Genomic DNA, 27139 nt, shown 5'->3' with positions numbered 1-27139 from the left:
GGAGATCTGGCAGCTGCTCAAATGCCGCCAGACGCCCTCAGAGGCCCCTCTGTGCCCACGTCTGCAGTCACCCGGGGTCCTGCGCACCCTCCAGTCTCTGCCTGTGTGGTGAGCTGTGAAAGTGGCCTAGCCTGTGGAGCGCGCCCCGGGCGAGGGGACATGGGGGACCTGCAGGGGCAAAGGCATCTGCTCGGCTCCCTCAGTGAGGACAAACATGAAGTGGAGAGAGAGGTGCCTGCGCTCACTGTCCCTCCTAACAGCAAACCCAAGGTCTCCCACAGGCCCGGCCACCCAAGCCGCTCGGGGCAGCCCCCTTCTCTCCCAGGCTGCTCTCTGCTCAGCACTTGGTTTGCACGAGCGCCTGGTGCATCCCGGGACATCTCTCCCCCGGCTCCACTTTCGTCTGTGGTGCCCACGTGACCTCCCGGGCACACACTGCTTCTCATCCTTGCGGGCCTCCAGGCTGGGCAAGGCACCCTCCTGGGCACAGGGCCACTGGCCTGCTCTCCGTGTAGGCTATCCCTCCTGACACGGTGGCCCTCGGGCCTGTGGGGCTGCCTGGAGGGAGGTGGGGCCTGCGTCCAGGTTGCTTTTCTTTCTAGCCGCCCCTGCCTTGCCCTCTCCACAGCCGGGGACCCCAGAGGCCCAATCCCGCCCACCAATCTCCGGGTGGCACCGTTTAAGCCACGCAGCATCAGGGCACGACCGTCGAAGGGGGGCGCCACCACCAGCCTTCCCTCTGCAGAATCCCCTCCTCCTCCCTCCTTCTCTCTTCCAGGTGAGCCATTGGCTTGGTCAGTTCCTTCTGCTGAGAAACCCTGAGTGATGTGTGATTAACTGAATTAACCCATCAACCGCCGCCTGGCCAGGTTCATCGAGGCTGAGCCCTAAATTCCGGAACGAGCCTCCTGGGGCTCTCTGGGGTGTCCTCCTGGCCCGGAGACAGAAGCTTCTGGACGGCTGTCTCACAGCCCCCACGGATGTGGGTATGACCCACGGCCCCGTGTCCCGATGCTGGAGTCTGTAACCGCCACCTCCTTAAACACTCTCCCATCCCCAACACTCAGTCTACCCAGATGGGACTGGACACACCCCACCCAGCCCCTCTGTGGAGGGTCAACACCAACCACTGAAAGGGCCAATGCCGCAGGGTAAGCGCCTGTGCCACAGCCACAGCTGCCGGGTCTGAGTACAGAGTGGCCTTGCCGGCTAGGATGCGTGGTCTTTTGTTTTTTGAGACAGGATCTAGCTCCATCACCCAGGCTGGAGTGCAGTGGCAGGATCTCGGCTCATTACAACCTCCGCCTCCCGAGTTCAAGCAATTTTCCCGCCTCATCCTCCCAGGTAGCTGGGACCACAGGCATGAGGCACCATGCCGTCTGATCTTGGCTCAGCTACATGCGTTCTGGCTTTTGCAGAACAAAAAGCACCAAATCCCCATCCCAGCTGCACCTGCACAGATGACAAGCCCCAACCCCCAGAACCTGTGACGTGAGCGCTGCCCTGCTGGGTCTACCCACTGCTGGGTCTAGGGCCCCACTGCTCCTGGCATCCCCCTGGAAGCCTCCTTGTGCGACCCCCGGCCCCTCGTCTGGGTGGTGACCATCACCTCTCAGGTCCTGGCTCCCGCAGGGCCTCTCGGCACCCCTGCCCCATGACCTGGAGGCAGGAGGATGAGAAAGGGGCAGGCCCTGCACTCAGGGACCCAACGCTGTCGGGAGCTGGGGTGAAGGCCAGCCCGGGCTGTGTGCCGACCCTGCTCCGCCCGGCCAACGAGCAGGCTGCCCCGCTGGCGTCTGTTCTGATACAGTGGTCTTGGCTGTTGTGGCCCAGGCAGGTTGGGGTTGCTACTTTCTCTCTGGCCCCCTGGATGAGCACTGGCCTCCCTGTGCCCGGCCTCAGGGCCGGCCGGGAGCAAACCCCACTGTGCCCTGCAGAGCTGAGCCACACAGATGCACACCCGGCTTTGCAGATGGAGCCCGGAGCCGAGCAGCAGCCTCCTCCGGTGACAGCAGTGGCACGGGGGTCCGCTGAGCACTCCCTGCACCCTCAGGGCTGGATCCCGCCTCCAAGCATCTCACGACAGCCCCTCTGAGGGGGTCGTGGGCGGACAGCAGAGGGAGGGCCCAGCCACACCCACCCTAAGCCTGACATGGACGGAGAAGCCCCTGACCTGGGCGCTGCCCCCGACTCGCGGAGCCTCGCCCAGGCACACGCCCACCCCGCGGAGCCTCACCCTGGCACACGCCCACCCCGCGGAGCCTCGCCTCAGCCTGAGCCTCAGTGGGGGGCGCTGACCCACAGCCGGTGAAGGGCAGCCCAGTGGAAAACGGGAGCACTGCTTGCACACCTGCCGCCCACGGTGGCCGCTAGCCCACATCCCCCACCTCAGGAGTGGCCCCGAGAGTCACCGCCTGCGCCTGAGGCCCTCGCAGCAGCAGCAGCAGCAGCAGGAGGGCAGTCAGAGGACAGGCAGGGCCGCCACCCTGGGCTGTGTTCCGTGGGCACAGGGCGGGTGCCCAGCTCCCCCTGCCCCCACAAACAAGAGCCGCCACTCCAAGACTCAGCAGCTTCCGAGGGCGCAGATCACTCCCTGGAGGCGGTCACCACTCGGTCAGGGCCCAGCACCCGTCCATCACCAAGGAGGAAGAGCCCGGCCTCTTCTGGGGCTCTCCGAACCCCAGGGGGTGCCCAAGGGAAGCCAGACAAGGCCGGGGCCTGGAAGGAAGCGAGGACGTAAAGGCTGGGCACCCACAGTGCCCACGCAGGCCTGGGGGTTGGGGGCCTGCCCTGTTGCCTGAGGGCCACAGCGAAAAGCAACAACCCCAGGGAGGGACGAAGGGACGCTGATCCTCACCCAGCCTCCACCCAACCCACGCAGCCACGATTCCGTCCCAGGGGGCGAGTGCCGGCTCCGGGTCACACGCCAAGGATGGCTCCCGGGCGCCAACGAGGGGATTGCAGCCATCCCACAAGGGGCTGCTCTCTCCCCGTCAGCTCCCATCCCCTTCCCCAGCCCTAGCCTCAGGCTGCTACCTGCCCTGTTCTTTTCGGGGTCCTCCATCTGGTCTGGGCCCAGGGCCAGTTCCCTGGGGAGGGCCCCGGGAGCCCCCTTCTCTGACTGTCTCCACTGAGTGATGTCACAGTCCCTGGGCTGACATCACCACACAGCCCTCAGCCCAGAGCCCAGGGCAAAGCTGAAGGGAGGCCAGGGACCTCACTGGGCTGGGCAGGTGCAGGCCACCGCCGTCCCAGTGCCCTCAGAGGCACCTAGACTCATGTGGACCCGGCCGCAGACCGTTCTGGGCAGCTCTGTCCAGGCCGGCCCTGCCCTCTGACCTGGGGCCGCAGGGGCTGGCCACTGTGGGCTCGGTTCCCTGCCACCCCAATTCATCTGCACCCCAAGGAAAGAAAATGAGGGGTTGCAGCGCCCCAGGACCCAAGAGCCCCCGAACACCAGGGCAGCACATACTTCCAGTGCCAGGGCCACAGCAGAGCGGGGCCAGGCCCAGCCCAGTGACGCAGGGCAGACGGAAGGGCGCCCTCCACAATGGAGGGGCGCAGGAGCTGCCGCGGCCAGGACAAACCAACCTCAGGCTGACCTAGGCCGGTAATGGGTTTAACGCATCAGGTGCAAAAGAGAAACACCCCACAAATCAGGGAGAGGAGGGAAGCCGCCCACCCCATGGGAGGAAGCTGAGGAGTGAACGCCAGGGATGGGCAGGGCCGGTCCTCGGAGCACTGCAGACACCAGACCAAGGGCGACTGTCATCACCACGAGAAGGCCCCGTCCATGGCAGAAGCCAACCTCACCGCGCCGACTGCACCGGAGACGCCCACGAGGACAGCCGGCCTCTGAGAACGCAGCTGAGCCGTCACAGGTCGCCATCAGCAAAGGCAAGAGTCCAGGTAAAGAACACAGGAGGGCCACAGGTGATCGCGGTACAGCGGCCAGGACCGGACCCTGATGCGGGGGGAGGGGGCAAGGCTGCACAATGGCAGCTGGGACCAGACCCTGTTGGGGGGATGTGGGGGACGGCGAGGCTGTGCAGGGACCCCGTCCCACAGGTCAGCCTCGCCCTGGTGATGGCACAGACCACAGGTGAGGGCCACGGGCAGAGCTGACCAGGGAAAAGCTGGCACTCACCCAGCACCGGACACATAAGGCAAACACCACCGGCAGCCTTGGCGGAGGGCACTGTCCCTGCAACTAGTCCACATAGGGGCAATTTTCCCAAAATTCAGATTATGCAAACGGAGGCAAGGCTGCCATGGACTCCAGAGCCTCAGACGCCATCAACAAAAGCAAAGTGGACACATCTGCATCAAATCCATCACAAAGACGGCCTTCCAGACTCCGGGGGAAGTGAGAACACCCCCACCCAGGCCCCCATGGCGCACAGGCCCCCACAGCAACCCTGCGCCACCTCAGCAGCCTCAGCTCTGCTTCCTGCTCCGTGGCCCGGGGGCAGAGCTGACCTGGTCTTGCCAGGGGGGCAGGGGTCCCCGGTCCCAAGTGGTGCCACAGACAGCGGGGGGAACGTGCAGGCAGAGTCAGGCACCCCACCAGGAAAGAAAGCTCCCACGGCAGGTCCCGGGGGCGAGTGGGACCCGGGGTGGCTCCCATCGGAATCCTGCTACATCTGAGAGGACACGGGTCCTTCCAGAAGCGTAACCATGAACGGCCGTGGAAAACCTGGGTGGGCTGCGTTTCTACATTTCCTTTGTTTTTTTTTTCAGACGGAGTCTCGCTCTGCCACCCAGACTGGAGTGCCTTTTCCCCTCATCGTGTGGGAGCCGCCGGGCGACATCCCGCCCCGGTTTCCCTCCACTCGAAGGCAGTCACCTCGGTTGCCAGCTCCTGCCTCTGTGATGATCCCCACGAGGGCTGCAGAGTGAAGGGCACAGCAGGGTTCGGCCTAACTCCCCGGGGAGCCCTAGGCGAGAGGGCTTGGTCCTGGGGAGCTGCCCAGGTCTTCTATATCCCCTGGCCTCCATCCAGTCCCGCACGACTCAGCTCCTGGCCCTGTGCACCGGGCGACGCCTGCTAGGCGCATGACCCTCAGAGTCAGGCCTGTACTCACCTCAGCATCTATCAAGGGCCTTCAAGGATCGGGTTTTTTTAATCATCGTCAAATATATCGTTACTAAAAAGATACGTACACTTTGGGAGGCCGAGGTGGGAAGATCACTTGAGGTCAGGAGTTTGAGACCATCCTGGACAACATGGTGTAACCCCGGTCTCTTCTAAAAATACAAAAATTATCCGGGCATGGTGGCGGACGCCTGTAATCCCAGCTACTCGGGAGGCTGAGGCAGGAGAATCACTTGAACCCGGGAAGTGGAGGCTGCAGTAAGCCAAGATGGCACCACTGCACTCCAGCCTGAGCGACAGAGCAAGACTCTGTCTCAAGAAAAAAAAAAAAAGTTGAGCACGTGGAAGCATCCCGCCCTCCGCCACTCGGGCATCATCAGTGCTCACAGGCCGCAGATGACACACGCTATCGGCGCACTAGCTTCTGCCCCCTGGGCCCTCGTCCAGCCCTGCACCCACTGCCCACTGAGGGGCCAAGGTGTGCTTGCTGTCCTGCAGTGACCATCACGACCCCTTTCACACAGAAGGGTTGGGCTATCCCCGAAAAAGACATGCCAAGTCCTAGCCCCCAGTAAACAGGAACACGGCCTTATGTGGAAATGAGGATGGCCCCAATCTCACCACTTCTCAGCTTAAGGTCCTGTTTCATGATGTTGAGTCAGAAAACAGCAGAGAATGGCCGGGCCCGGTGGCTCTCGCCTGTAATCCCAGCACTTTGGAAGGCCGAGGCGGGTGGATCACGAGGTCAGGAGATCGAGACCATCTTCGCTAACACGGTGAAACCCCGTCTCTACTAAAAATACAAAAAATTAGCCAGCTGTGGTGGCGGGCGCCTGTGGTCCCAGCTGCTCGGGAGGCTGAGGCAAGAGAATGGTGTGAACCCGGGAGGCGGAGCGTGCAGTGAACGGAGATCACACCACTGCACTCCAGCCTGGGCGACACAGTGAGACTCTGTCTCCAAAAAAAAACAGCAGAGAAGAGGAAGGTGGGGAGGGGTGGACTCTCACCGCTTCCTCCCGCCCAGCCTGCACATCCTGAGGGCACCCAAGCATCCCCCATCCTGGCCCATCGGGAGGCTGCACCCCCCAACTGGGACCCCTGTCCGTCATGCACACCACAGCTGGTGCTGCCTCCTCAGGGAGCCCCAGAGGACACAGGCAGCTGGGCCAGCCTCAGGATCTGGCAGGGTCTGAATGGGAAGAAATCAAACGGTCCCAGCAGGCCCCCATCTTTGATTTTTTTTATTTTTTTTTTGAGACGGAGTCTCACTCTGTCGCCCAGGCTGGAGTGCAGTGGTGCGATCTCGGCTCACTGCAAGCTCCGCCTCCCGGGTTCACGCCATTCTCCTGCCTCAGCCTCCCGAGTAGCTGGGACTACAGGCGCCCGCCACCACGCCCGGCTAATTTTTTGTATTTTTTTTAGTAGAGACAGGGTATTTTAGTAGAGCCAGGATGGTCTCAATCTCCTGACCTCGTGATCTGCCCGTCTCGGCCTCCCAAAGTGCTGGGATTACAGGCGTGAGCCACCGTGCCTGGCCATCTTTGATTTTTATAAACCAGCAAACGGTAGAAAGTGTTGCCTCCCCAGGCACACGGCGTCTCCTCTCACCTCCCCTCATTTCAACAGCAGGGGACAGACACAGACCACCCGCCTGGCCAGCTCTCTGACCCCCATGGTCTCCCCTGAAAACTGGGCACGGGGATCACCCAGGGATCTAGGGGGGCACCAAGGCGAATAAACGCCCAGCTCACCGAAAACTTCCCAACACGCTCCGCCATGATACCCCATAACCCCCACCTGGAGGGTCTCCAGCAAAACTCCCGCAGCCCCTCCCTCCTGGATGCCCCAGAGCAGGTGACACCTCCCTTCCAGCGGCCAGGTCCCCACCTGACACTGGCTGGAGGGAGGCAGGGGGACGGGTGCTGGTGGCCTCTGGGGCACGAGAAGGTGCCTTGGTGTTCGGTGGGCGGCAGCAGATTTAGGCCGGGCCAGCCCAGGAAGGCCCGTCCGTCCCAACATGGAAGGAGGCCTTGGCTGTTTCTAAGTGCACCCCCTCCTGTCTCCCAGAGGCCTCAGACAATTTTCTCTGGAAAGCGGACGGTGCTCATCTCCTGGAATCTGAGGTTTGTGAAAGAACATCTTCTTCAGATGTTGCTGTAATGTTCAAGTTCTCCAACACTGCTGAGTTCTCTTTTGCTACTTAAAAATAAACATTGATGGCCAGGCGCGGTGGCTCACGCCTGTAATCCCAGCACTTTGGGAGGCCGAGGAGGGCGGATCACGAGGTCTGGAGATCAAGACCATCCTGGCAAACACAGTGAAACCCCGTCTCTACTAAAAATACAAACAATTAGCTGGGTGTGGTGGCGGGTGCCTGTAGTCCCAGCTACTCGGGAGGCTGAGGCAGGAGAATGGTGTGAACCCGGGAGGCAGAGCTTGCAGTGAGCAGAGCTCACGCCACCACACTCCAGCCTGGGGGACAGAGCGAGACTCCGTCTCATAAATAAATATATAAATAAATATATAAATAAATAAAATAAATAAAAATAAACGTTGATTTTTGTGGCCTCGAAAGGCCAGGGCCACCTCGATGATCCTGTGGGGCTGGGGCCTACCGGTCACTCTGTGGACACTGGATGCCTCCGGCCTCTGAACTCGCTGTGGCGAAGGTCACGGGCAGCACATCCATCTGTCTGTCCCACTGGCCGTGCTCGTCACAGGGTGCAGGATCTGGCCCTGTGCCTGACAAGGCAGTGGGGACACCGGGCACATGCAGGACCCCTGGCTTTCTAGACGGCATGGGGATCAGGACAGCAGGGTCCCTGATGCCCTGCAGGCCAGAGAAGCATCGGGCCGAAGGACAGGAGAAACCAAGTCACCGGAAGAGGGGAGTGGTCGTCGCTGTGCAGAGATCCAGTCCCCAAAACCCGGCAGGGGACCCAAACAGTGCAGGTATGGATGGCCGTCTGCGGCTCCTCAAATGGTCCAACCGGGAGTGGCCCTGTGACCAGCGGTTCCACCGCTAGAAGTCCACCTGACAGAAGAATCACGCAGCCACACGGGAACCGGACACGGGTGCTCGCAGCAGCCACACGCGGATGCCATGCAAACATCTATCACAGAAATAAACACGTGGCCACCCACACGCCGGAACACGACTCAGCCACGAACAGGAGCGAGACTCGGACGCGGGCCATGGCGCGGATGCACCGAGGGTGTCACACTCAGTGAGAGACGCCAAACACACCAGGCCTCATCCCGTGTGATTCCACCCCTAGGAGGTCCCTGGAGCCCTCAGAGTCACAGAGCCAGAAAGTAGGATGGGGGTGCCAGGGGCTGGAGAGGGCACGGGAGTGAACGTTTCACGAAGACAGCGTCTCAATTTGGGAAGGTGGGAAGGTTCTGGAAAGGATGGTGTGGAAGGCTGGCTGCTGATGGGGCCAGGGCTCCCTTTGCAGGTGATGAGAACACTCTGGAATTACAGGTGGTGGCTGCACTCACAGAGGAGCCTTGACCACGGCAGGTTTGAACTGACAGGTCCACTCTGACGTGGATTTTTTCAATAAAGGTTGCCCTGAGGGCGCCAGCCTCTCCTGGCTCCTTCCCGCTCTGCCACCCGAGACAGCGAGACCCACCCTCCCTTCCTCAGCCCTCAACGTGAACACGACGAGGACAGAGGCTTCCATGAGCATTACTTCCACTGCGTGAAGAGCAAACAGGGTTTCTCTTCCTTCTGCTTTTCTCCACATGTTCTGGTCTCCAGCTTCCCTCACTGTGAGAACGCAGCACCTAACACAACACACGAGGTATGTGTGCGCGGACCACGTGTCCTCCCGAGGCCTCTGGTCACCAGCAGGCTGTCGGCAGCGGCATCTGGAGGACTCGAAAGCTATACGAGGGTATTTTGCTACATGAGGGGCTGCTGCCCTAAACCCCACCCTGCTCAAGGGTCAGCTGTACAAAAACCACTTGCGTGCACACGTTGCCGAATTTTACCAAACGTGGATTATGTTCCCAGCAAAAAAAAGTGGCTCATGCTCTAAGGACCACACCGAAATAAGGCTGGTAAGAGAACAGTGAGCTGGGTCAGTGTGACGGGATCTTTTTTTTTTTTGCGTTTTTTTTTTTTTTTTTTGAGACGGAGTCTCACTCTGTCGCCCACATGGAGTGCAATGGCGCGGTCTCAGCTCACTGTAAGCTTCGCCTCCCGGGTTCATGCCATTCTCCTCCCTCAGCCTCCCGAGTAGCTGGGAGTACAGGCGCCTGCCACCGCGCCCGGCTAATTTTTTGTCTTTTTAGTAGAGACGGGGTTTCACTGTGTTAGCCAGGATGGTCTCGATCTCCTGACCTCGTGATCCACCCGCCTCGGCCTCCCAAAGTGCTGGGATTACAGGCGTGAGCCACCACGCCCGGCCGGGATCGTTAATTTTAAGAAACGCTGTGAGCCCGGCTCTGGCCAGCACCCTGGGGATGAGAGGGGGAGGGACAGGGCCCGGGGCAGCGGCCTTCCAGAATGGCTCCCTCCGGTGCAGGATCAAGTCTGAGCCCAGGGCGGGGCCGCCCCCCGAAGCCACACCTCCTGCTCACAGGGCCAGGGTTTAACCAGCTCATCCCGGGTCCCGGCCCACGAAGCTTTCAGAGGAACCGGGGCTGTGCGCCCACAGGAAGGAGAGGCCAGTGCCCGGGCACGAGGACGAGCTGACTCATGGGGGCCCCAGGACGTCACCACACCCATTGCCCAGGGCCGCGGGCGAGGTCCAAGGGGCAGCGGAGGTCCCCGACAACTCATGGGGCAGCCACGGTCCACCCAGGGCTCAGGCAGCGAGCCCCACACAGCGCCCCTCTCCACGGCGTACAGGCCTGACCAGCGTGATGGCACAGCACGCACACACCTGTGCAGACGCCAGCGCAAACGCACACCACCCCTGCGGTCGCAAGCCCTGTCCCAGCCCACCTGCAGGCTCCAGGGCTCTGGCTGGCCTGCACGTGGCCAGGGCCCAGCTGGATCCCCCTCGGCGCACCCACCCTCAGAGGAACTCAAAGGCACACCCAGCAAGTCAGAGGCAGACACGGGCCAGTCCGTGTCCTCACGCTGGTCCCGTGCGCTGCCCTCAGGCTCCCGTCCTGGGAACTGTCCCCAGGCAGAGCCTGGGCATCAGCGCCAGCTGCCCTGCCCCAGGACCACTGGAGCAGAAGCCCGAGGGGCACAACTGCCGCGGACAGGATGAGCCCTCGCACGCCTGCCATCTTTCCTGGGGACAGAGGTCAGATGGGAAGGGGCAGAGGTCACCGCAGATTACATGAGCATCACCTGGGAAACAAGGTCCCTAAGGAGGGCGGGTCCCACCTGCAACAGGGCCTGAAGCACCACGGCCAAGGCGAGAGGACTGGCCATCAGGCCTCACAGGCAGGGACTCTGTCCACGAATCCAGACCAGGACTTGGGGTGCCTCACTCTGGAGGGTGGAAGTTTCCAGATAATTGAGGGATTACCTTTAAGCACAACTTTTTTCAAGCCTCCAAAGGCAATTACGCATCAACGAAACACCGCTGGTGACAATAAAAAAACCTCTAAGATTTTCTCTGCCTTTTAAATAGCGATAGGGCCGGGCACGGTGGCTCACGCCTGTAATCCCAGCTATGAGGGAGGCTGAAGCAGGTGGATCACCTGAGGTCAGGAGTTCAAGACCAGCTTGGCCAACATGGACAACAGAGCGAGACTCTGTCTCTAAATAAATAAATGAATAGGCCGGGCACAGTGGCTCATGCCTGTAATCCCAGCACTTTGAGAGGCCGAGGCGGGCAGATCACAAGGTCAGGAGATGGAGACCATCCTGGCTAACACAGTGAAACCCCGTCTGTACTAAAAATACAAAAATTAGCCAGGCGTGATGGCATGTACCTGTAGTCCCAGCTGCTGGAGAGGCTGAGGCAGGAGAATGGCGTGAACCCGGGAGGCGGAGCTTGCAGTGAGCCAAGATTGCGCCACTGCACTCTAGCCTGGGCAACAGAGCGAGACTCCATCTCAAAGAAAATAATAATAATAATAATAAATAAATAAATAAATAGCCGGGCGCGGTGGCTCACGCCTGTAATCCCAGCACTTTGGGAGGCCGAGGCGGGCAGATCACGAGGTCAGGAGATCGAGACCATCCTGGCTAACACGGTGAAACCCCGTCTCTACTAAAAGTACAAAAAACTAGCCAGGCGTGGTGGCGGTCGCCTGTAGTCCCAGCTACTCGGGAAGCTGAGGCAGGAGAATGGCGTGAACCCAAGAGGCGGAGCTTGCAGTGAGCTGAGATCGGGCCACTGCACTCCAGCCTGGGCAACAGTGCAAGACTCCATCTTAAAAAAAATAAATAAATAAAAAATAAATAAATAAATAAATAAACGAATAAATAGTGATGGGCCAGCCCTGGCCCGTGACCCCCGAGCCTCTTGCAGTCTTTCTTCCCGCTGCCCTCACCTGCGCCCCCTCCTCTGCGCGGCCTGAGACACAGACGTGAGGCAGCTAGCTCCCCCTGCAGGTATGGAATGGGAGTGACCTCCCCGGGATAGGCCACGGGATGCACTTCCCACCTCTCCCGGGAACATACGCGTGGCCTCCGCTCCTAGATGGAATCTGCCGTAACAAGAGTCATACCCCACGGGTCAGGCCGGCCAGACCAGAGTCTCTTGCCCCACTCCACTGGGCTGCCTGCCCCACTTGGCACCCACAGCTTCGGTCCTCACCCCATGGCCTCTCCAGGGAGGGACCCACTGCTCTACCCCAGCGTGCCCCAGAAGTTCAGCAGATGCGCATCAAGGGAGAACCAGCTTTTTTTTTTTTTTTTTTTGAGACGGAGTCTCGCTCTGTTGCCCAGGCTGGAGTGCAGTGGCGCGATCCTGGCTCACTAAAACCTCCACCTCCCGGGTTCAAGTGATTCTCCTGCCTCAGCCTCTCGAGTAGCTGGGATTATGGGCGCACGCCACCACGCCCGGCTAATTTTTGTATTTTTAGTGGAGATGGGGTTTTGCCATGTTGGCCAGACTAGTCTTGAACTCCTGACCTCAGGTGATCCGCCCACCTCGGCCTCCCAAAGTGCTGGGATGACAGGTGGGAGCCCCCGCGCCCGGCCAGAGCTGGCTGTTTTCAACATGATGTCACGCGAAACTGTCTCGGGCCTCACGGTGCAGGGAGGCCGCTGGGCCACCCAGGAGCACGCCTGAGGGTGACAGGAGGGATCCCTGGGCAGGGCTGGCAGGGGGCTGCCCCGATTCCCTGTGCAGGGGACACGTTGGGGGCTCTGAGCAAGGGGGAGATGATCCCCACACCTCAGACGCGTGCCCCGAACAGTCAGCCGCACCGGGGGCCAGGGCCGCCTGAGTGCTGCCGGGGGAGCCTGGGGCCAGCCCGGGGGTCTGAGAAGCGGCTCCCCTGTGGGCCCAGGACACAGCTCACGCTGCACCTGCAGAGGGGCCCTGGCAACCTTGCGGGCGCACAGGCTGGTGCAGGGCCCCAAGCAGCGGTGGTGGCCAGAGACTCTGGGCAGGGCGAGAAGGGGCCGCGGAGCCTGGAGGACTCAGAACCCAGCAGGGCTTCAGGACAGTGCCTGGGGGACAGCATGGGCAATGCTCCTGGGCACAGCTAGCTCACGCTGGCCACCCGGGGCATGTCCTGCTTTGTCCCATGCCCTTGCTGGTGACAAGTTGATGTGGGTGGTGAGCGGGGCAGAAAAAGGGCAGCAAGGGTGGGATGCTAGAGGTTCCTGCCCCACTACAGGAGGACCCGGCAAAGGGAGGAGGCTCACTGGGCCCCGCCCGCCAGACGGGTGCTTGCCAGGAGCCAGGCAGGCCCCACCCCTCACTCAATCCCTGCCCGCTGCAGGGCTGCCCGCAGTGCATTGAATACACCGTTCTGGTGGTCCCAGACCCTCACTTTGAGCCCTCGCTGAGGTAGCACAAAGGGGTACCCCCCCCCACCCAGCCAGGCCAGTCAAGCTCCCGGACAGACCCACCCAGCAGACGGCTGCACCCACGTGCCAGTCACAGGGCGGCACAGCCCTCTGGACAGAGCCAGCAGAGAGGATGGGGAAGGCGGTGAGGCCCGTCCCCTGGCCGCAGGGCCACCACCCCTCGCTGTCACTGCTCCCACTGGCACGGCGGGTGACCAGAGAAGCACAGGTGTGGGAGTCAGCCCTCGGGAAACACCACCTTCTCCTCTACCCAAGCAGGCCAGGTAGGCCTCGACTTCCTCATCTGTAAAATGGGCGCTCCACCCACTTCCCAGGAAGCCCCACAGCACGGGCCCCACGAGAACTCCAGAATGAGGAAGAAGCAGACGCGGAGCCTCCCGACCTAGGGAGCCTCCAGACTGCAGGCCTCACTCAGACGGCCTTGCACAGAGGCCGCCAACCAACAGGTTCTCTCGTGTGGCTGCCGGCGGAGCATTTGCAGATCTGCAGATCCGCGGGATGGGGGAGGCGGACCCGGCACGCCTGACACCAGAGCTCGACCCAACACGCGCACGGCCACCGAGCCCTAGCTGGACACAGGACTTGAGGCTGACCTGAGGACGAAGCCCACAGCTGCCCGCCACCACCGCAACCCTAACCAGGACTCGGGCCAGGCCTCCTTCACATGGGCCCTGTGTCCCCTCTGGGTTCAGAGAAAGTCAGCCAGCCCCACATGCTGGCCTGCCCACTGCCACCCGAGGCCCGCAGCCCCTGCCAGGCTGTGCCCGGCACTCGGCCCCAACAGCACCCACAGCGCTGCCTCCATCCACCACCCGCCCTCCGCCAGGCCTCGGTCAAGGCCTTGACGGACCATGAGCCCCTGGGGGCCTGGGGCAGCTCGGTGGGGGGTGCAGAAAGGAGGCAACATCAAACGCTCAACAGGATCCCCCTCTCCAGATGCCCCAGGGCAAGCAACTCCGGCTGTCCCTAAGCTCAGCTTCCGTCCGTCCCAGTGGCTCTGCGGACGCATCTGCTGGGGCGCTAGAGTCTGCCACTCGGGCGCGCGGTAACCCCCACCAGTTCCAAAAGACACAGTGCCCCCCCTCCCAACCGTGCCTGGCACACCAACAGGACTACCCCAATCCCCAAATTAATGGCTGGCATACTGGCTTCCCCTAAGCTTGGGATGAGCAACAGGAACTTTCAATTAAAAAAACCCTCGCCTACTTCCTTTGTAGCCCAGAGTAATTACTGTATTATTAAAAAGGAGGAGAAGAAAAGAAGAAACCCAAATCGGCAATTCCACAAAATCTGTCTGCACAAAGTGCTGCACCATCGCGGGCCATCCTGCAAACGGCCTGGCTCCCAGACCTGCCCAGAGCCCAGGCAATGAGGCGCTGCTCCCTCATCCTCTTCAGAGGAACTAGACAGGTTCAAATCAGACAGGAAGCCCCTAGACACACAAGGAAGTCCGAAGGCACAGCAGGCACAGTAAATCCAGACACTACAGACCACTTGGGGTTTCGCCTCCCACCGGGGTGAAGGGAACAGAGCCAGCTCCTCCAACATCTCACCCCATTTGCCCGCTGCACGGTCCTGCAGGACACATGGTTGGCCTCTCACCCCCAGACCTGGCCCTCCCATTGGGACCCCGTCCAGACCCGGCTCCCCTGCATGCAGGTCTCCCGTTCCCTCTCGTCTGTGCAGGAGCGGCTCTCAGAGCTCACTGTGGGGGGCTGAGCAAAACACTCTCGGCCCTAGAGACGTCAAGGCAGGCGTGCGCGTACCTGCACACACTCCCGGGGGCTGCCTGCCTGGGAAACTCATCAGTCAGCCCAGCCCAGAGCGTTTCGTTTTGGTGGAGACACAGGGGAAAACAAAACAAAGTACCAGTGACAACCGCGAACTTCCCCCTTTCAAACCTGGGGGCCCTGGCACACAGTCTTTCCTCTGCACAGAGGCACCCCAGGCTAGGCTGGGCTGTGCAGGGCAGAGTAGCCCGGGGTGCTTCCATCCCCAGCTGCCAACCCCCGCCCAGCCCCCTCCCTAATCCGAGCGCCTTCCCGTGGCGGGACGGCTGGGTTTTTCCCCCAGACAGGAGCCTTTGTACCTTCCTGCTCAGCTCCCACACCCACGAGCTACCAGGGCCTCCGGGAGCCAGGAAACACCAAGAAGGCTCCTGCATGTCCTGGGGTGGGGAGGCAGAGCCCCACATGGCCTTGTGGACCGCCCCGGCGCACTGGGCCACACGGTGGAGCGTAACGGGGAGAAGATGCTGGACTCCACCTACACAGACAACCCTCCGGCCCGCTTCCTGCAAACAATGCCATCCGGAGGCCACAGGAATAAGAACCAGCTGTCCCAAAGCCATTCTGGCTCAAGACGCAACAGTCCCCGAATGTCCTCTCAGCCCCCACGCCCCTCAACGGGAAAGTCTTCCCCTAAGAAAGTTGGGAGAGAGGAGCCAGGCGGGGATCGGGGATCGGTGAGGCCACCGCAGGCCCTGCTCAGACATCTCACCCTCCCTCCCTGATCCGTGCGTTTCCGGAAAACAAAGCCGGTGGCCACAGCGGAAGGGGGAGGGGGCAGCGAGCCCAGCCGGGAGTTCCCAGGCAGTGCCGCAACAGGTCCCTGCGGATCAGACCACCTTCCTCCCCCCCACCACCCCCTGCTCTCCCCCTCAAGAGCTTTAGGACCACAAAGTGAGGACGGGGACACAGCTGCGTGGGGAGGGGCCAGGCCAAGACAGGAGGAGGCGATGGGGCCAGGTGGGCAGGGGCCTCGGGACCAGAACGCGGGGAGGCGTGAGGGACGCGGGTGAGTGGGCGGTGGGCTTGAGCACTGGGTGGGGGAAGAAGGCGGGAGGTGGGGTGGGGACTAAAGGCTCAGCGGAGGGCAGGAGAGTTGGAGCACGACAGTCACCGGGGTGCAGAGTGGGGGGGTCACTGGAGCGGCGGGGGCAGGGTCTGGAGTGTGAGGGTCACTGGGGCGGCAGACTCCTGAGTGTGGAGGTCAGCGTGGGGCTGTGTCCGGAGGTCCTGAGCGCGGGTTAGGGCGGTGGGGGACGCTGGGGTCCCGAGTGCAGGGTCAACGGGGTGTTGCGGCGGTGGGGCCCTGAGTGTGGGGGTCAGCTTGCGGGGCGGTTAGACGGGTTGGGGGGCGCTGGGGTCCGGAGCACGGGGTCGGCAGGGCGCAGGAGGGCAGTGGACACCGAGTGTGGGGGCGGGGGCGCCGGGGGTCACTGGGGGCGCCCAGGGCCAGGGTGCAGGGGGCGAAGGGGCCGGGGCGGGCGCGCGCGTCGTTACCTTGGCTCCGCCGTGGCCGGGCCCGCGGGCAGCGTCTGGGCGGCCGGCCCGGCCTCAGCAGCGCAGCGCGGACCCCCGCTCCGGGCCCCGCGCCCCCTCGCGCTCCGGCTCCGGTGCCGCTTGGGCCCCCGCTCCGGCTCCCGCGCCGCCTGGGCCGGCCTCCGCATGTTCGGGACGGGAGGCGCCGGGCTCGCCGCGCTCCGCCGCGCCCGCTCCGGGGCCCGCGCGCCTTACGCCGCCAGCGTCTGCCAGCGGGGGGCGGCAGCCATACGCGCCCCACTGCGCAGCCGCGGCCACGGCGCCGGGGGCGCGCGCCGCCGACGTCACAGCGCGGGGCGGGGCCAACACCCGGCTGGGCGTTTCTCGCGCCGCTTTGCGACAACGGATGGCGCCGCGCGACGGCCACGGCGTTTTGCGGCCGCTACGAGGCCGCCGGGCCGCTGCCCGCGGGGGACACCGAAAGCGCGTGGCCGCGAGGGCGCGCGCGGGCAGGAAAGGGGGTCTAACGGTTTCCACACCCTTCTAGGGGCGGGCCTTCCGCCGCCCGCCCCTCCCCGCCCGCTGTTGCCATGGCGACGCGTGGCTGGTCGTCCTGGCACCGCCCTGCCGCCGTGTGTTACGTCACAGTCTCGCCACCTGACGTCACGGACGGGCGGCGCCGCGGGATGTTCCGTGCGTGGGGCGGTGGCGGGCGCGGCGCGGGGAGGCGGCGGGCTGCGCGCGCTAGGCCGCGAGGTTTCCGGGACAGGCGCTGGAAGGGGCGACTGGCCAGAAAATGAGCTGGTTCAGGGCAAGAGGGTTTTTCCATCTGGCTTTCCTGGGCGAGGAGGGGAAAACAGTTCTAGAATAACTGCTCCGTGTTCAGGGGGAGAACAGCGGTGACGTGGGTGCCCCGTTGTCTTCATCCACCGTGACATCAGCAAGGAGCAGAGAGGAAGTGGCCCCGGACCCGCGGCCGGCAGCTAGACAAATGCACTGCTGGGACTGCCATGCCCAGCACGGGCCGCTCCCCTGGGGCTCTGCGCGTAGAGCCGACTCCTTGCTTGTACCTGCCTGCCTTCCGGCCTGCACCGGGCAAGAAACGTGGGGAGGGGATCCACAGGCCAAGGCGCCGCACAGTGATGCCCTGCTCCATCCCATGACAGGGCCTGGAAGGGGACTGGCAGCTGCAGAAATGGTTTCCGGCCTTCCCACATCCCCCACGCACTTCCCGGTGGGGGCATTTTTAAAGTCGAAGGAGACACATTCATTCAAATATGTATTAAGTGCCTGCCAGTGGCTCTGAGAATAGAACAGTGAGCTAGACTCTTGGCATCGTTTCCTAGGGAGTCCTCGGTCCTAGGGGGAGGAGAGAGCCCTGTGTAATGATTTCAGATGATGTTATAAGGTAGGGTGTGGGGCGGGCGCGGTTGCTCACGCCTGTAATCCCAGCACTTTGTGAGGCTGACGGAGGAGGAGGCTTCGTTGAGCCCAGGAGTTCAAGACCAGCCTGAGTAGCAGAGACCCTGTCTCTACAAAAAATAAAAGTAGCGGGACGTGGTGACGCATGCCTGTGGCCCCAGCTACTTGGGATCCTGAGGCAGGAGGATTGCTTCAACCAGGAGGTCGAGGCTGCAGTGGGCTGTGATTGCACCACTGCACTCTAGCCTGCCTGACAGAGCAAGACTGTCTTAATAAGGCCAAGGCCGGGGGCGGTGGCTCACGCCTGTAATCCCAGCACTTTGAGAGGCCGAGATGGGTGGATCCCCTGAGGTCAGGAATTGGAGACAGCCTGACCAACATGGCGAAACCTCGTCTCTACTAAAAATACAAAAATTAGGCGGGCGTGATGGTGAGCACCTGTAATCCCAACTAGTCTGGAGGCTGAGGCAGGAGAATCGCTTGAACCTGGGAGGCGGAGGTTGTAGTCAGCCAGGATCGTGCCACTGCACTCCAGCCCGGGTGACAGAGCAAGACTCCGTCTCAAAAAAAAAAAAAAAACTGTAAAAAAGCTGCGATTCCAGGTGTAAACCACCGTGGCCAACCTTGCTTTCTCATTTTTAACCCACTTCAAATGTGGTCCACATGTTCCTGATTCATTTCAGCTTTAATCATGAGGATGTCATTGGGGACAGCTGGTGGGGGGGTGAGACTAGCCCCTTTGAGGGTTTTTATTTATTTATTTATTTAGAGACAGAGTTTCGCTCTGTTGCCCAGGCTGGAGTGCAGTGGCATGATCTCGGCACATTGCAACCTCCGCCTCACGGGTTCAAGGGATTCTCCTGCCTCAGCCTCCTGAGTAGGTGGGACTACAGGCGCCCGCCACCATGCCCAGCTGATTTTTGTACCTTTAATAGAGATGGGGTTTCACCATGTTGGCCAGGCTGGTCTCGAACTCCTGACCTCAGGTGATGCGCCTGCCTTGGCCTCCCAAAGTGCTAGGATGACAGGCTTGAGCCACCGCGCCCAGCCGGGTCTTTTTTATTTTGAGACAGGATCTGACTTTGTCACCCAGGCTAGAGTGCAGTGGCACAGTCTCGGCTCACCGCAGCCTCTACCTCCCCAGGCTCAAGCAGTCTTCCCACCTAAGCCTCCCCAGTAGCTGGGATCACAGACACGCGCCACCACGCCCGCCTAATTTTTTTTTTTTTTTTTTTTTTTGAGACGGAGTCTTGCTCTTTCGCCTAGGCCAGACTGCAGTGGCACTATCTCGGCTCACTGCAAGCTCCATCTCCCGGGTTCACGCCATTCTCCTGGCCTCAGCCTCCCGAGTAGTTGGGACTACAGGCGCCCGCCACTGCGCCCGTCTCATTTTTTGTATTGTTAGTGGAGACGGGGTTTCACTGTATTAGCCAGGATGGTCTTGATCTCCTGACCTTGTGATCCCCCCGCCTCGGCCTCCCAAAGTGCTGGGACTACAGGCGTGAGCCACCGTGCCCGACTACGCCCGGCTAATTTTTTATAGAGACAGGGTTTTGCTATGTTCCCCAGGCTGGTCTCCAACTCCTGAGCTCAAGCAATAGCACCCACCTCAGCCTCCGAAAGTGCTGGGATTACAGGCCTGAGCCAATGCGCCCAGCACCCTTTGGAGGTCTTAATCTAATAAGAACATTATAAAGATAACAACTTGTCCACGCCCATCCCATCCTCTAGAGAGAAGATCTCCCAGCCTCCCAGTAAATCCCAAACAGCGTAGGTTTGGGGGAGGAGGCAGGCAGGAAGTGCCCCCTTCTGTTCTATTCCTATACTCACATAAAGAGACGTTCACACTTGTAATCCCAGCAGTTAGGGAGGCTGAGGTGGGAGGATCGCGTAAGACCAGGTGTTCAAGATCAGCCTTAGTGAGGCTAAAAATACAGAGTGAGGGCCAGGCGCGGTGGCTCACGCCTGTAATCCCAGCACTTTGGGAGGCCGAGGCTGGTGGATCACCTGAGGTCGGTAGTTCAAGACCAGCCTGGTCAACATGGTGAAACCCCGTCTCTACAAAAAATGCAAACATTAGCCAGTCTTGGTGGTGGGCGCCTGTAATCCTGTCTACTCAGGAGGACGAGGCAGAAGAATCACTAGAACCTGGGAGGCAGAGGTTGCAGTGAGTCAAGATTATGCCACTGCACTCTAACCTCAAAAACAACGAAAAAACAAAAACAGGCCCTCAGCAGATACCAAAGCTGCCCACACCTTGGTCTTGAACCTCCACGCTCTCCAAAGCTGTGAGAAGTAAATTTGTTGTGTCTAAGCTGCCCCACCTACGGTATTTTGTTAGAGATGCCACTGTCCCAACAGCCGCACATCCTCTGCCCAGGAAGCCCTTCTCCCACTCTCGCCCCATTCATCCTTGAAGGCCCAGCCTCAGGGTCGCAGCGTCTGGGAAAACTTCTGGAAGCTTTTCCCCCCTTGCTCACCTCCTGGTCCTGCCGCCTGTTACAGCTGGAGGTGTCCCCACAGCCCTGTGGCCCGGGGCCCTCTCGGGGCCACTCATTCTGAGGCCGGGTTGGCTGGAGGGTCAGGAGCCCGGGGGCAGGGGCCAGACTCATGCCTCGCAGGAAGGAAAGCTGGGTCCTGTTGCTGAGGCCGCCGCGGGCTTGTGCCTCCAGCCACGTGTCTTCTTCCTGCTGTCCACCCTGGGCCTCCATTCCCCTTCCAACCCCAGGAGGAGGAGCACATGGGGCCCTGGGGGGTCATGGAGCCCAGATGAGGGACCGTGAGTCCTCAGGTCACCTGTGGAGCTGCCTGGGTCGCCGGCCTGGAGCAAGAAGTAAACGTCCACTGTGCCGGAGCCGCTACGCCAGGCGGGCCGATTTGTTAAAGCAGCTGGGCCTTATCAGTAACGTGCTAATACACAGGTGCAGCCCATCACAGATGCTGGGCTGTGGAACTCAGCGGTCGGGCAGAGCTGCCTTCAGGCATGGCTGCAACCAGGGGTGACTCAAGCTCAGTGCCTGTGGACCTTTCTCTTTGTCCTCATGTCTCTCTCTCTCTCTTTTTTCTCTCTCTCTGTCTCTATCTCTCTGTCTTTTCCTGTCTCTGTCTCTATGTCTCTCTTTTTTTTTGAGATGGAACCTTGCTCTATTGCCCAGGCTGGAGTGCTCGCCATCTTTCTGTCTATGTCTCTGTCTCTCCCTGTCTCTGTCTCTCTATTTGTCTTTCTGCCTCTTTCTTCCTCTGCCTCTCTCTCTGTCTCTCAAGCTCTCTGTCTCTGTCTCTGTGTCTCTCCCTTTCTCTTCCTCTCTCTGTCTCTCTCTCCCTTCCTAGCTCTGTCTGTCTCTATTTCTCCCTCTCTATCTCTCTCTGTCTCTGCATCTCTCCCTCTATCTCCAACTGTGTCTCGTCTCTTTCATCCTCTGTCTCCGTCTCTCTCTCCCTCTCTATATCCCTCTGTCTCTATCTCTACCTCTCTATCTCTCTGTCTCTCTCTCCCTCCCCACATCTCTCTCTGTCTCTACCTTTCCCTCTCTCTCTCCCTCTCCTTGTCTCTCCGTCTCTGTGCCTTGGCTTCATTCTTTCACTCCAAGCTTCTTCCGTCCGTGGTGGCAGCTGTGGCTTAGTTTAGCAACCCCCAAATAAAACAGAGCTCTTCTCTCCCAGGATCGCTATAAAATCCCAGGAAAGTCTCTTATTGTCTGGCATTGGCCCCTCCCAGATGACTGGCCAGGCCTGGTTTAGGCAATGTCCTGGTGACCAGAAGGGCAGGTTCCACGAGGGGCAGCGCCCTGAGAACACAGGAGTCGGGTGGGCCAGGTTCCCCACAGCAGGAGGAGTAGTTGCCGGGGAAGGGGAAGGACGCTGAGCAGATGACAACAGCTGCCTGCGACTTGGCGGCAGCGTTCAGAGCAGCTCCAGTGACAAAGGGCTTTCCCGCCTGGAGTGGCTCACTGCCCAGTCTTGGCCCTGCCAGCCTCAGTGGCCTCCCTGCAAGGGGACAGTCCTGGCCATCATCTCCGGGTCCAGCTCTGGACAGCAGGGATCAAGTGACTCATGCCCTGGGCTGAAAATGTACATGACCTTGCAATTTTCCTGAATTTGCTCCAGGAACAAGAGACAAAGCTAATTCCCAGGAAGAGGAGGAGGGATCTGCCCTGTAGTTGCCCTTGACCAGGTCCCTGGGCCTCAACCTTATCTATAAAAGGATAGAGTTGAAGACGGATTGAACTGCCAAATTGGTTTCCTCCTGGTGCTGCTCGATTGATTGGTGATGTCTGCTTTGTGCATGGGAGGGAAGCAGTGTGGGCATCATTGGTTGATTGGTGATGTCTGCCCTGTGCACAAGAGGAAGGAAGGCAGGACAAACAGCAGCGTTCCCCAGTCAACCAACATCATTGCTTGATTGGTGATGCCTACCCTGTACACAGGAGGAAGGAGGTCAGGAGAAACATCATTCGATGATTAATTGGTGATGTCTGCCCATGTTGCCATGTTGGCCAGGTTGGTCTCCAACTCATGACCTCAGGTGATCCACCTGCCTCAGCCTCCCAAAGTGCTGGGTTTACAGGCATGAGCCACTGCGCCTGGCCCGATTCTACAACTTTTTTCTATTTCCTCATTTTAGATCATTCCAGAACTTTCTGGGAATTACACCCAACAGTCTCTAGTAGGGCATAAACACAGACTTGGGGGAAAAGAAGACCTGTCTTTGCAGCCAGTGGCGACACCCCTTCCCAGCTGGGAGGCTGGGCCTGCCCAGCACTGCATTCCCATATGCAGCGCAGCCAACGGAACAGGGCGACGTCAGGAAGTTTTGGTGGGTGAGGAAGCAGCACAGAGCAGGGTCTGCCCTCACCCCCACCAACCGCAGGGACAGAGCCTGGCGGCAGTGGGTGGCCCCAGAGCCAAGTGTGGGGCACTGGGATCTGCCTCTTCACAGGGGCACGGGATCCAGTCAGAGGATGGGTGACTCTGAGAGAAGTTTCTCTCCTTTGTCTACTTTCTCTGCTGTCCCAGAGAATGAAGGCTCATCCTGCAGCGTCCTTTGAGGGTACATGGCTGTGTGTTTGTGTGTCTGTGTGGGATGCTGTGTGTTGATGTTTGTGTGTGTCTGTGTGTATGTCCATGGATGGGTGTATGTTTGTGTGTTTTGTGTGTCTGTCTATGATGTAACATGTTGGTGTGTGTGGATACATGTCCATGCATTTGTATTTTGGGTTTTTTTTTTTTTTTGAGACGGAGTCTCGCTCTGTCGCCCAGGCTGGAGTGCAGTGGCGCAAGCTCCACCTCCCGGGTTCCCACCATTTTCCTGCCTCAGCCTCCCGAGTACCTGGGACTACCGGCGCCCACCACCACGCCCAGCTAATTTTTGGTATTTTTAGTAGAAACGGGGTTTCACCGTGTTAGCCAGGATGGTCTAGATCTCCTGACCTTGTGATCCACCCACCTCGGCCTTGCAAAGTGCTGGGATTACAAGCGCGAGCCACTGCGCCCGGTCATATTTTGTGTTTCGTGTTTTGTTTTTCTGAGACAGGGTCTCCCTCTGTCACCCAGGCTGGAGTGCAGAGATTCAATCATAGCTCACTGCAGCCCTCACTTCCCAGGCTCAAGTGATCCCCCTGCCTCGGCCTCCCAAAGTGTTGGGATTACAGGCATGAGCCACCGCAACCGGCCTGCATTTTGTATATGTGTTTGTTGTTTTCCAGTGTGTATGTCCATGTACATGTGTGCACGGGTGTGTGTGTGTTAGGTGTGTCTGTGTGAGGTGGCATGTTGGTATGTGTGGTCCATGTGTTCATGCATTTGTGTCATATGTATCTGCGTACATGTGTGCATATGTATGTGTGTGCACATGTCTGTCTCTGGGTCTTTGTGTGCGTGGGTGTGTGTGCGCACCTGTGCATCTGGGTGTGTGTGTGTGTGTTCGTCGGTGGGTCTATGGGGGGGTGTGCATTTGTGTGCCTGTGTTTGGCATGCCTGTGTGTGGTGTGTGTTGGTTTGTGTATTGTGTGTGTGAGCATGTGAGTGCCTGCATGGGGGGTATTCAGGAACGCTGCTGTGAATGGCATCGCTCAGCGTCAGGGAACCGTCTTGCTCCAGGTTTTGGGCTGTTTCATGGAGGCTGGGGGATGTTCTTGTTGATGATGCAGCCCACTTGGACTTAACTTATTTTTGGTCATATTGCACCTAAATGGTCCTCCTGGCATTCACTCTGTTCATTTGCCCCTGGTGCCTGGGGACTCCTCCCATGGTGGTGACCAGGGTCTCTCCCACATCTCTTGTCACCAAGGCCAGCCACAGAGGGCAGCCTGCAGTGGACAGGGTGCAGGACAGGGCAACAATGACCATGATGCTTCATGGAAGATGTGAGCTCCCCCCAGGGAGCCTCCCATCCAGAGCCCCCACCCCTCAGCTCGATGGAATGCCCAGCCCCTTGGTGCTGCAACCCCAGTAGGAGGGTGGCATCCTGGACCCAGGCAACAGGGATGCTGCATGCCACAAACACTGAGACACAAAGAAGAAGTGGTTCAAAAGCTGGGTGTGATGGTCACAGATTCTTTGCTGCTCCTCCCACGGAAAGACACAGTTCATTTCCCCTCCCCTGAATGTAGCTGCTCCTGTGACCTGTTTTAGCAACAGAAGGCAGGGGAAGTGGTGCCTTGAGACTTCTGAGGGAGGGTCTTACGAGCTCGACAGTAGGCTGGGCATGGTGCTTACACCTGTCATCCCAGCACTTGGGGAGGCCGAGGCGGGCAGATCACCCGAGGTCAGGAGTTTGAGACCAGCCTAGCCAGCACGGTGAAACCCTGTCTCTACTAAAAATACAAAATTAGCTGGGCGTGGTGGTGGGCACCTGTAATCCCAGCTACTCGGGAAGCTGAGGCAGTAGAATCACTTGAACCTGGGAGGTGGAGGTTGCAGTGAGCCGAGACTGCGCCATTACACTCCAGCCTGGGTGACAGAGTGAGACTGTGTCTCAAAAAAAAAAAAAAAAAAAAAAGAACTCAACAGCGTCCTTTCTGCTTGGAACCCAGCTGCCATCTTGTGAGGCAGCCACCTGGAAGCCCCTGGGTGATGGCACCACTGAGCAGGCACCACCTGCCAGCCCTGTGAGTGAGCTACCTCAAACATTCCCGGCCAGGGAAAGCCACTAAATGATTGCTGATTACCCCCCATCACCACAGGGAGCAGAACTGCCCAGCTGAGCCCGGACACCCCGCATCATGTCAGATATAATCCACTGCCATTCTACCTTAGCCACCCCAAATCCCTAGGGCTGAATGAGGTCATCAAATAATGATTCCTCTCCCACTTTCTCCCCTCTGCTAGTCCCTGGCAGACTGGAGGATGGCCCAGAGGCAGCCAGGTGAGGGGTGACGCCCTTCAAGGCCCTGCTCCAGTGGTCCTCACCAACTACAACCGCCCTGCAGAGCCCCGCTGTGCCCTGCACCTGCTCCCCGGCCCTCATGCCGCTGCCAGGAGTGTCTGTGCTCATCTGTCTTCTCTCCCCTCCAGCCTGAGAAAGCTCCTTCTTCCCACCCCTTACCAGAAATATAAATTGGCCGGGCGCGGTGGCTCATGCCTGTAATCTCAGCACTTTGGGAGGCTGAGGCAGGCAGATCACGAGGTCAGGAGATCGAGGCCATCCTGGCTAACATGGTGAAACCCCGTCTCTACTAAAAATACAAAAAATTAGCCAGGCATGGTGGCGGGCGCCAGTAGTCTCAGGTACTTGGGAGGCTGAGGCAGGAGAATGGCGTGAACCCAGGAGGCAGAGCTTGCAGTGAGCCAAGATGGTGCCGCTGCACTCCAGCCTGGGTGACAGAGTGAGACTCCGTCTCAAAACAAAAAAAAAGAAAAAAAGAAATATAAATTTACTCCTTGCCCCTTCTGTGTTTCAAAGGAGGGTGGCTTTTCAAAGTCCCCACAATGGGGACAGCATTCGAGGCTGCCTCAATGGCTGGTTCCACTTCGCAGCCCCATCTATCCATCAGGACGCCCTCTGCACCCATACTGACTTGTTCCTTTCCAACCCACCCTGACCCTCCACCCATCTGAGCCTTGTCTGGCTTCTCTCAGCCCAACAGGTCTGGCAAAGCTCAGGCAGATGATCACCTCTTTTGGGAGGACTCCATGATACATCAGGCCAAATGAATCCAACCCACCAGCCTCTGGAACTGCTTTCGTCCATGTACTTATGTGTTCTGCCTTCCATGATGGATATTCATGGTCTGTCTGCCCCACTAGGCAGCAGCTCCTGAGGACAGGAACTAAACCTCTTTAAAATGCCTTCAAAAACCCTGCCATGCACCCTGATACAGCCCTAGTTAGTGTACATATTATTATCAGGTTTCTGAAGATAATCCAGGAACACCTATTGTATCAGTCAGCTACTGCTGCATAACAAATTATACCAAACTCAGTGGCCTAAAACAACACATGTCTTTGTGATATGACTGGTGAAATAAATTAAGCAAAAACAAATTATTATTTTTTTTAATAAAAAAGAAGAGGCTGGGAGCCATGGCTCATGCCTGTAATCCCAGCACTTTGGGAGGCTGAGGCAGGCAGATCACCTGAGGTCAGGGGTTTGAGACCAGCTTGGCCAATATGGTGAAACCCAATCTCTACTAAAAATACACAAAAATTAGCTGGGTGTGGTGGCGGGCGCCTGTAGTCCTGGCTACTTGGGCGGCTGAGGCAGGGAAATCTCTTGAACCTGGGAAGCAGAGGTTGCAGTGAACCGAGATCGCACCACTACACTCCAGCCTGGGCAAAGAGCAAGACTCCATCTCAAATAAATAAATAAATAAATAAATAAATAAAACAAAAATAAAATTAATAAATAAAACAACAGACATCTTATCAAGTTTCTGGGGCTCAGAAGACTGGAAATGACTCAACTGGGGGGCCAGGCATGGTGGCTCATGCCTGTAATCCCAGCACTTTGGGAGGCTGAGGCGGGTGAATCACCTGAGGTTGGGAGTTTGAGACCAGCCTGACCAGCAAGGAGAAACAGAAACCCTGTCTCTGCTAAAAATACAAAAGTTAGCTGGGCATGGTGGCACATGCCTGTAGTCCCAGCTACTCTGGAGGCTGAGGCAGGAGAATTGCTTGAACCCAGGAGGTGGTGGTTGTAGTGAGCCGAGATCACGCCACTGCACTCCAGCCTGGGCAACAAGAACAAAACTCCGTCTCAAAAAAAAAAAAAGAAAAGAAAAAAATGACTCAACTGGGTGGCTCACGCCTGTAGTCCCAGCACTTTGGGAGGCTGAGGCGGGTGGATCACTTGAAGCCAGGAGTTCGATACCAACCTGGCCAACATGGCAAAAACTAGTTTCTACTAAAAATATAAAAATTAGCTGGGTGTGGTTGGTGGCGTGCACCTGTAATCCCAGCTACTTG

At 59.4% G+C, this 27139-nt stretch overlaps 1 protein-coding gene and 2 long non-coding RNA genes across 9 annotated transcripts in view, besides 7 other annotated features; 2 read left to right on the top strand and 1 right to left on the bottom strand.

The window, feature by feature from the left end:
• The window catches only part of CSNK1G2 (casein kinase 1 gamma 2), a 40167-nt gene extending 23587 nt beyond the window's left edge, over positions 1 to 16580 (bottom strand). For 4 of the 7 annotated variants that reach the window (XM_005259498.2, XM_005259500.2, NM_001319.7 and 1 more), the window contains exon 1: positions 16334 to 16580. The gene's annotated coding sequence lies outside the window, so the exon portion shown is untranslated. Of the gene's footprint in view, positions 1 to 3036; positions 3092 to 16333 lie in introns of those variants that run through there. The other 3 variants (XM_047438184.1, XM_047438185.1, XM_005259499.4) reach the window with 1 other exon arrangement.
• Positions 1871 to 2822: an enhancer, noted in NCBI's record as "H3K27ac-H3K4me1 hESC enhancer chr19:1954929-1955880 (GRCh37/hg19 assembly coordinates)". NCBI's record gives its function as "activates a minimal SCP1, AML or CMV promoter by ChIP-STARR-seq in naive H9 embryonic stem cells {active_cell/tissue: H9 hESC(naive)}" and the evidence as "EXISTENCE:reporter gene assay evidence [ECO:0000049][PMID:30033119]".
• On the top strand, positions 3203 to 5225 carry CSNK1G2-AS1 (CSNK1G2 antisense RNA 1). The gene is made up of 3 exons (NR_033400.1): positions 3203 to 3909; positions 4246 to 4366; positions 4741 to 5225. It is a non-coding gene; the product is annotated as a CSNK1G2 antisense RNA 1 (long non-coding RNA).
• Positions 10033 to 10753: an enhancer, noted in NCBI's record as "H3K27ac-H3K4me1 hESC enhancer chr19:1946998-1947718 (GRCh37/hg19 assembly coordinates)". NCBI's record gives its function as "activates a minimal SCP1, AML or CMV promoter by ChIP-STARR-seq in naive H9 embryonic stem cells {active_cell/tissue: H9 hESC(naive)}" and the evidence as "EXISTENCE:reporter gene assay evidence [ECO:0000049][PMID:30033119]".
• Positions 14593 to 14702: an enhancer, noted in NCBI's record as "active region_13638". NCBI's record gives its function as "activates an Ori minimal core promoter by ATAC-STARR-seq in GM12878 lymphoblastoid cells {active_cell/tissue: GM12878}" and the evidence as "EXISTENCE:reporter gene assay evidence [ECO:0000049][PMID:35858748]".
• Positions 15383 to 15532: an enhancer, noted in NCBI's record as "active region_13637". NCBI's record gives its function as "activates an Ori minimal core promoter by ATAC-STARR-seq in GM12878 lymphoblastoid cells {active_cell/tissue: GM12878}" and the evidence as "EXISTENCE:reporter gene assay evidence [ECO:0000049][PMID:35858748]".
• Positions 16493 to 16922: a silencer, noted in NCBI's record as "silent region_9756". NCBI's record gives its function as "represses an Ori minimal core promoter by ATAC-STARR-seq in GM12878 lymphoblastoid cells {active_cell/tissue: GM12878}" and the evidence as "EXISTENCE:reporter gene assay evidence [ECO:0000049][PMID:35858748]".
• Positions 16678 to 17638, top strand: LOC105372238 (uncharacterized). The gene is made up of 2 exons (XR_936239.2): positions 16678 to 17005; positions 17199 to 17638. It is a non-coding gene; the product is annotated as an uncharacterized LOC105372238 (long non-coding RNA).
• Positions 17363 to 17422: a silencer, noted in NCBI's record as "silent region_9755". NCBI's record gives its function as "represses an Ori minimal core promoter by ATAC-STARR-seq in GM12878 lymphoblastoid cells {active_cell/tissue: GM12878}" and the evidence as "EXISTENCE:reporter gene assay evidence [ECO:0000049][PMID:35858748]".
• Positions 19164 to 19364: a silencer, noted in NCBI's record as "fragment chr19:1938387-1938587 (GRCh37/hg19 assembly coordinates)". NCBI's record gives its function as "represses an EF-1alpha promoter that drives an FKBP-Casp9 reporter gene in an ReSE screen in K562 erythroleukemia cells {active_cell/tissue: K562}" and the evidence as "EXISTENCE:reporter gene assay evidence [ECO:0000049][PMID:32094911]".

Source organism: Homo sapiens, chromosome 19 (assembly GCF_000001405.40).
Source record: "Homo sapiens chromosome 19, GRCh38.p14 Primary Assembly".
In the NCBI taxonomy this organism is placed as follows: domain Eukaryota; kingdom Metazoa; phylum Chordata; class Mammalia; order Primates; family Hominidae; genus Homo; species Homo sapiens.
This window is presented reverse-complemented; position numbering and strand designations above follow the sequence as displayed.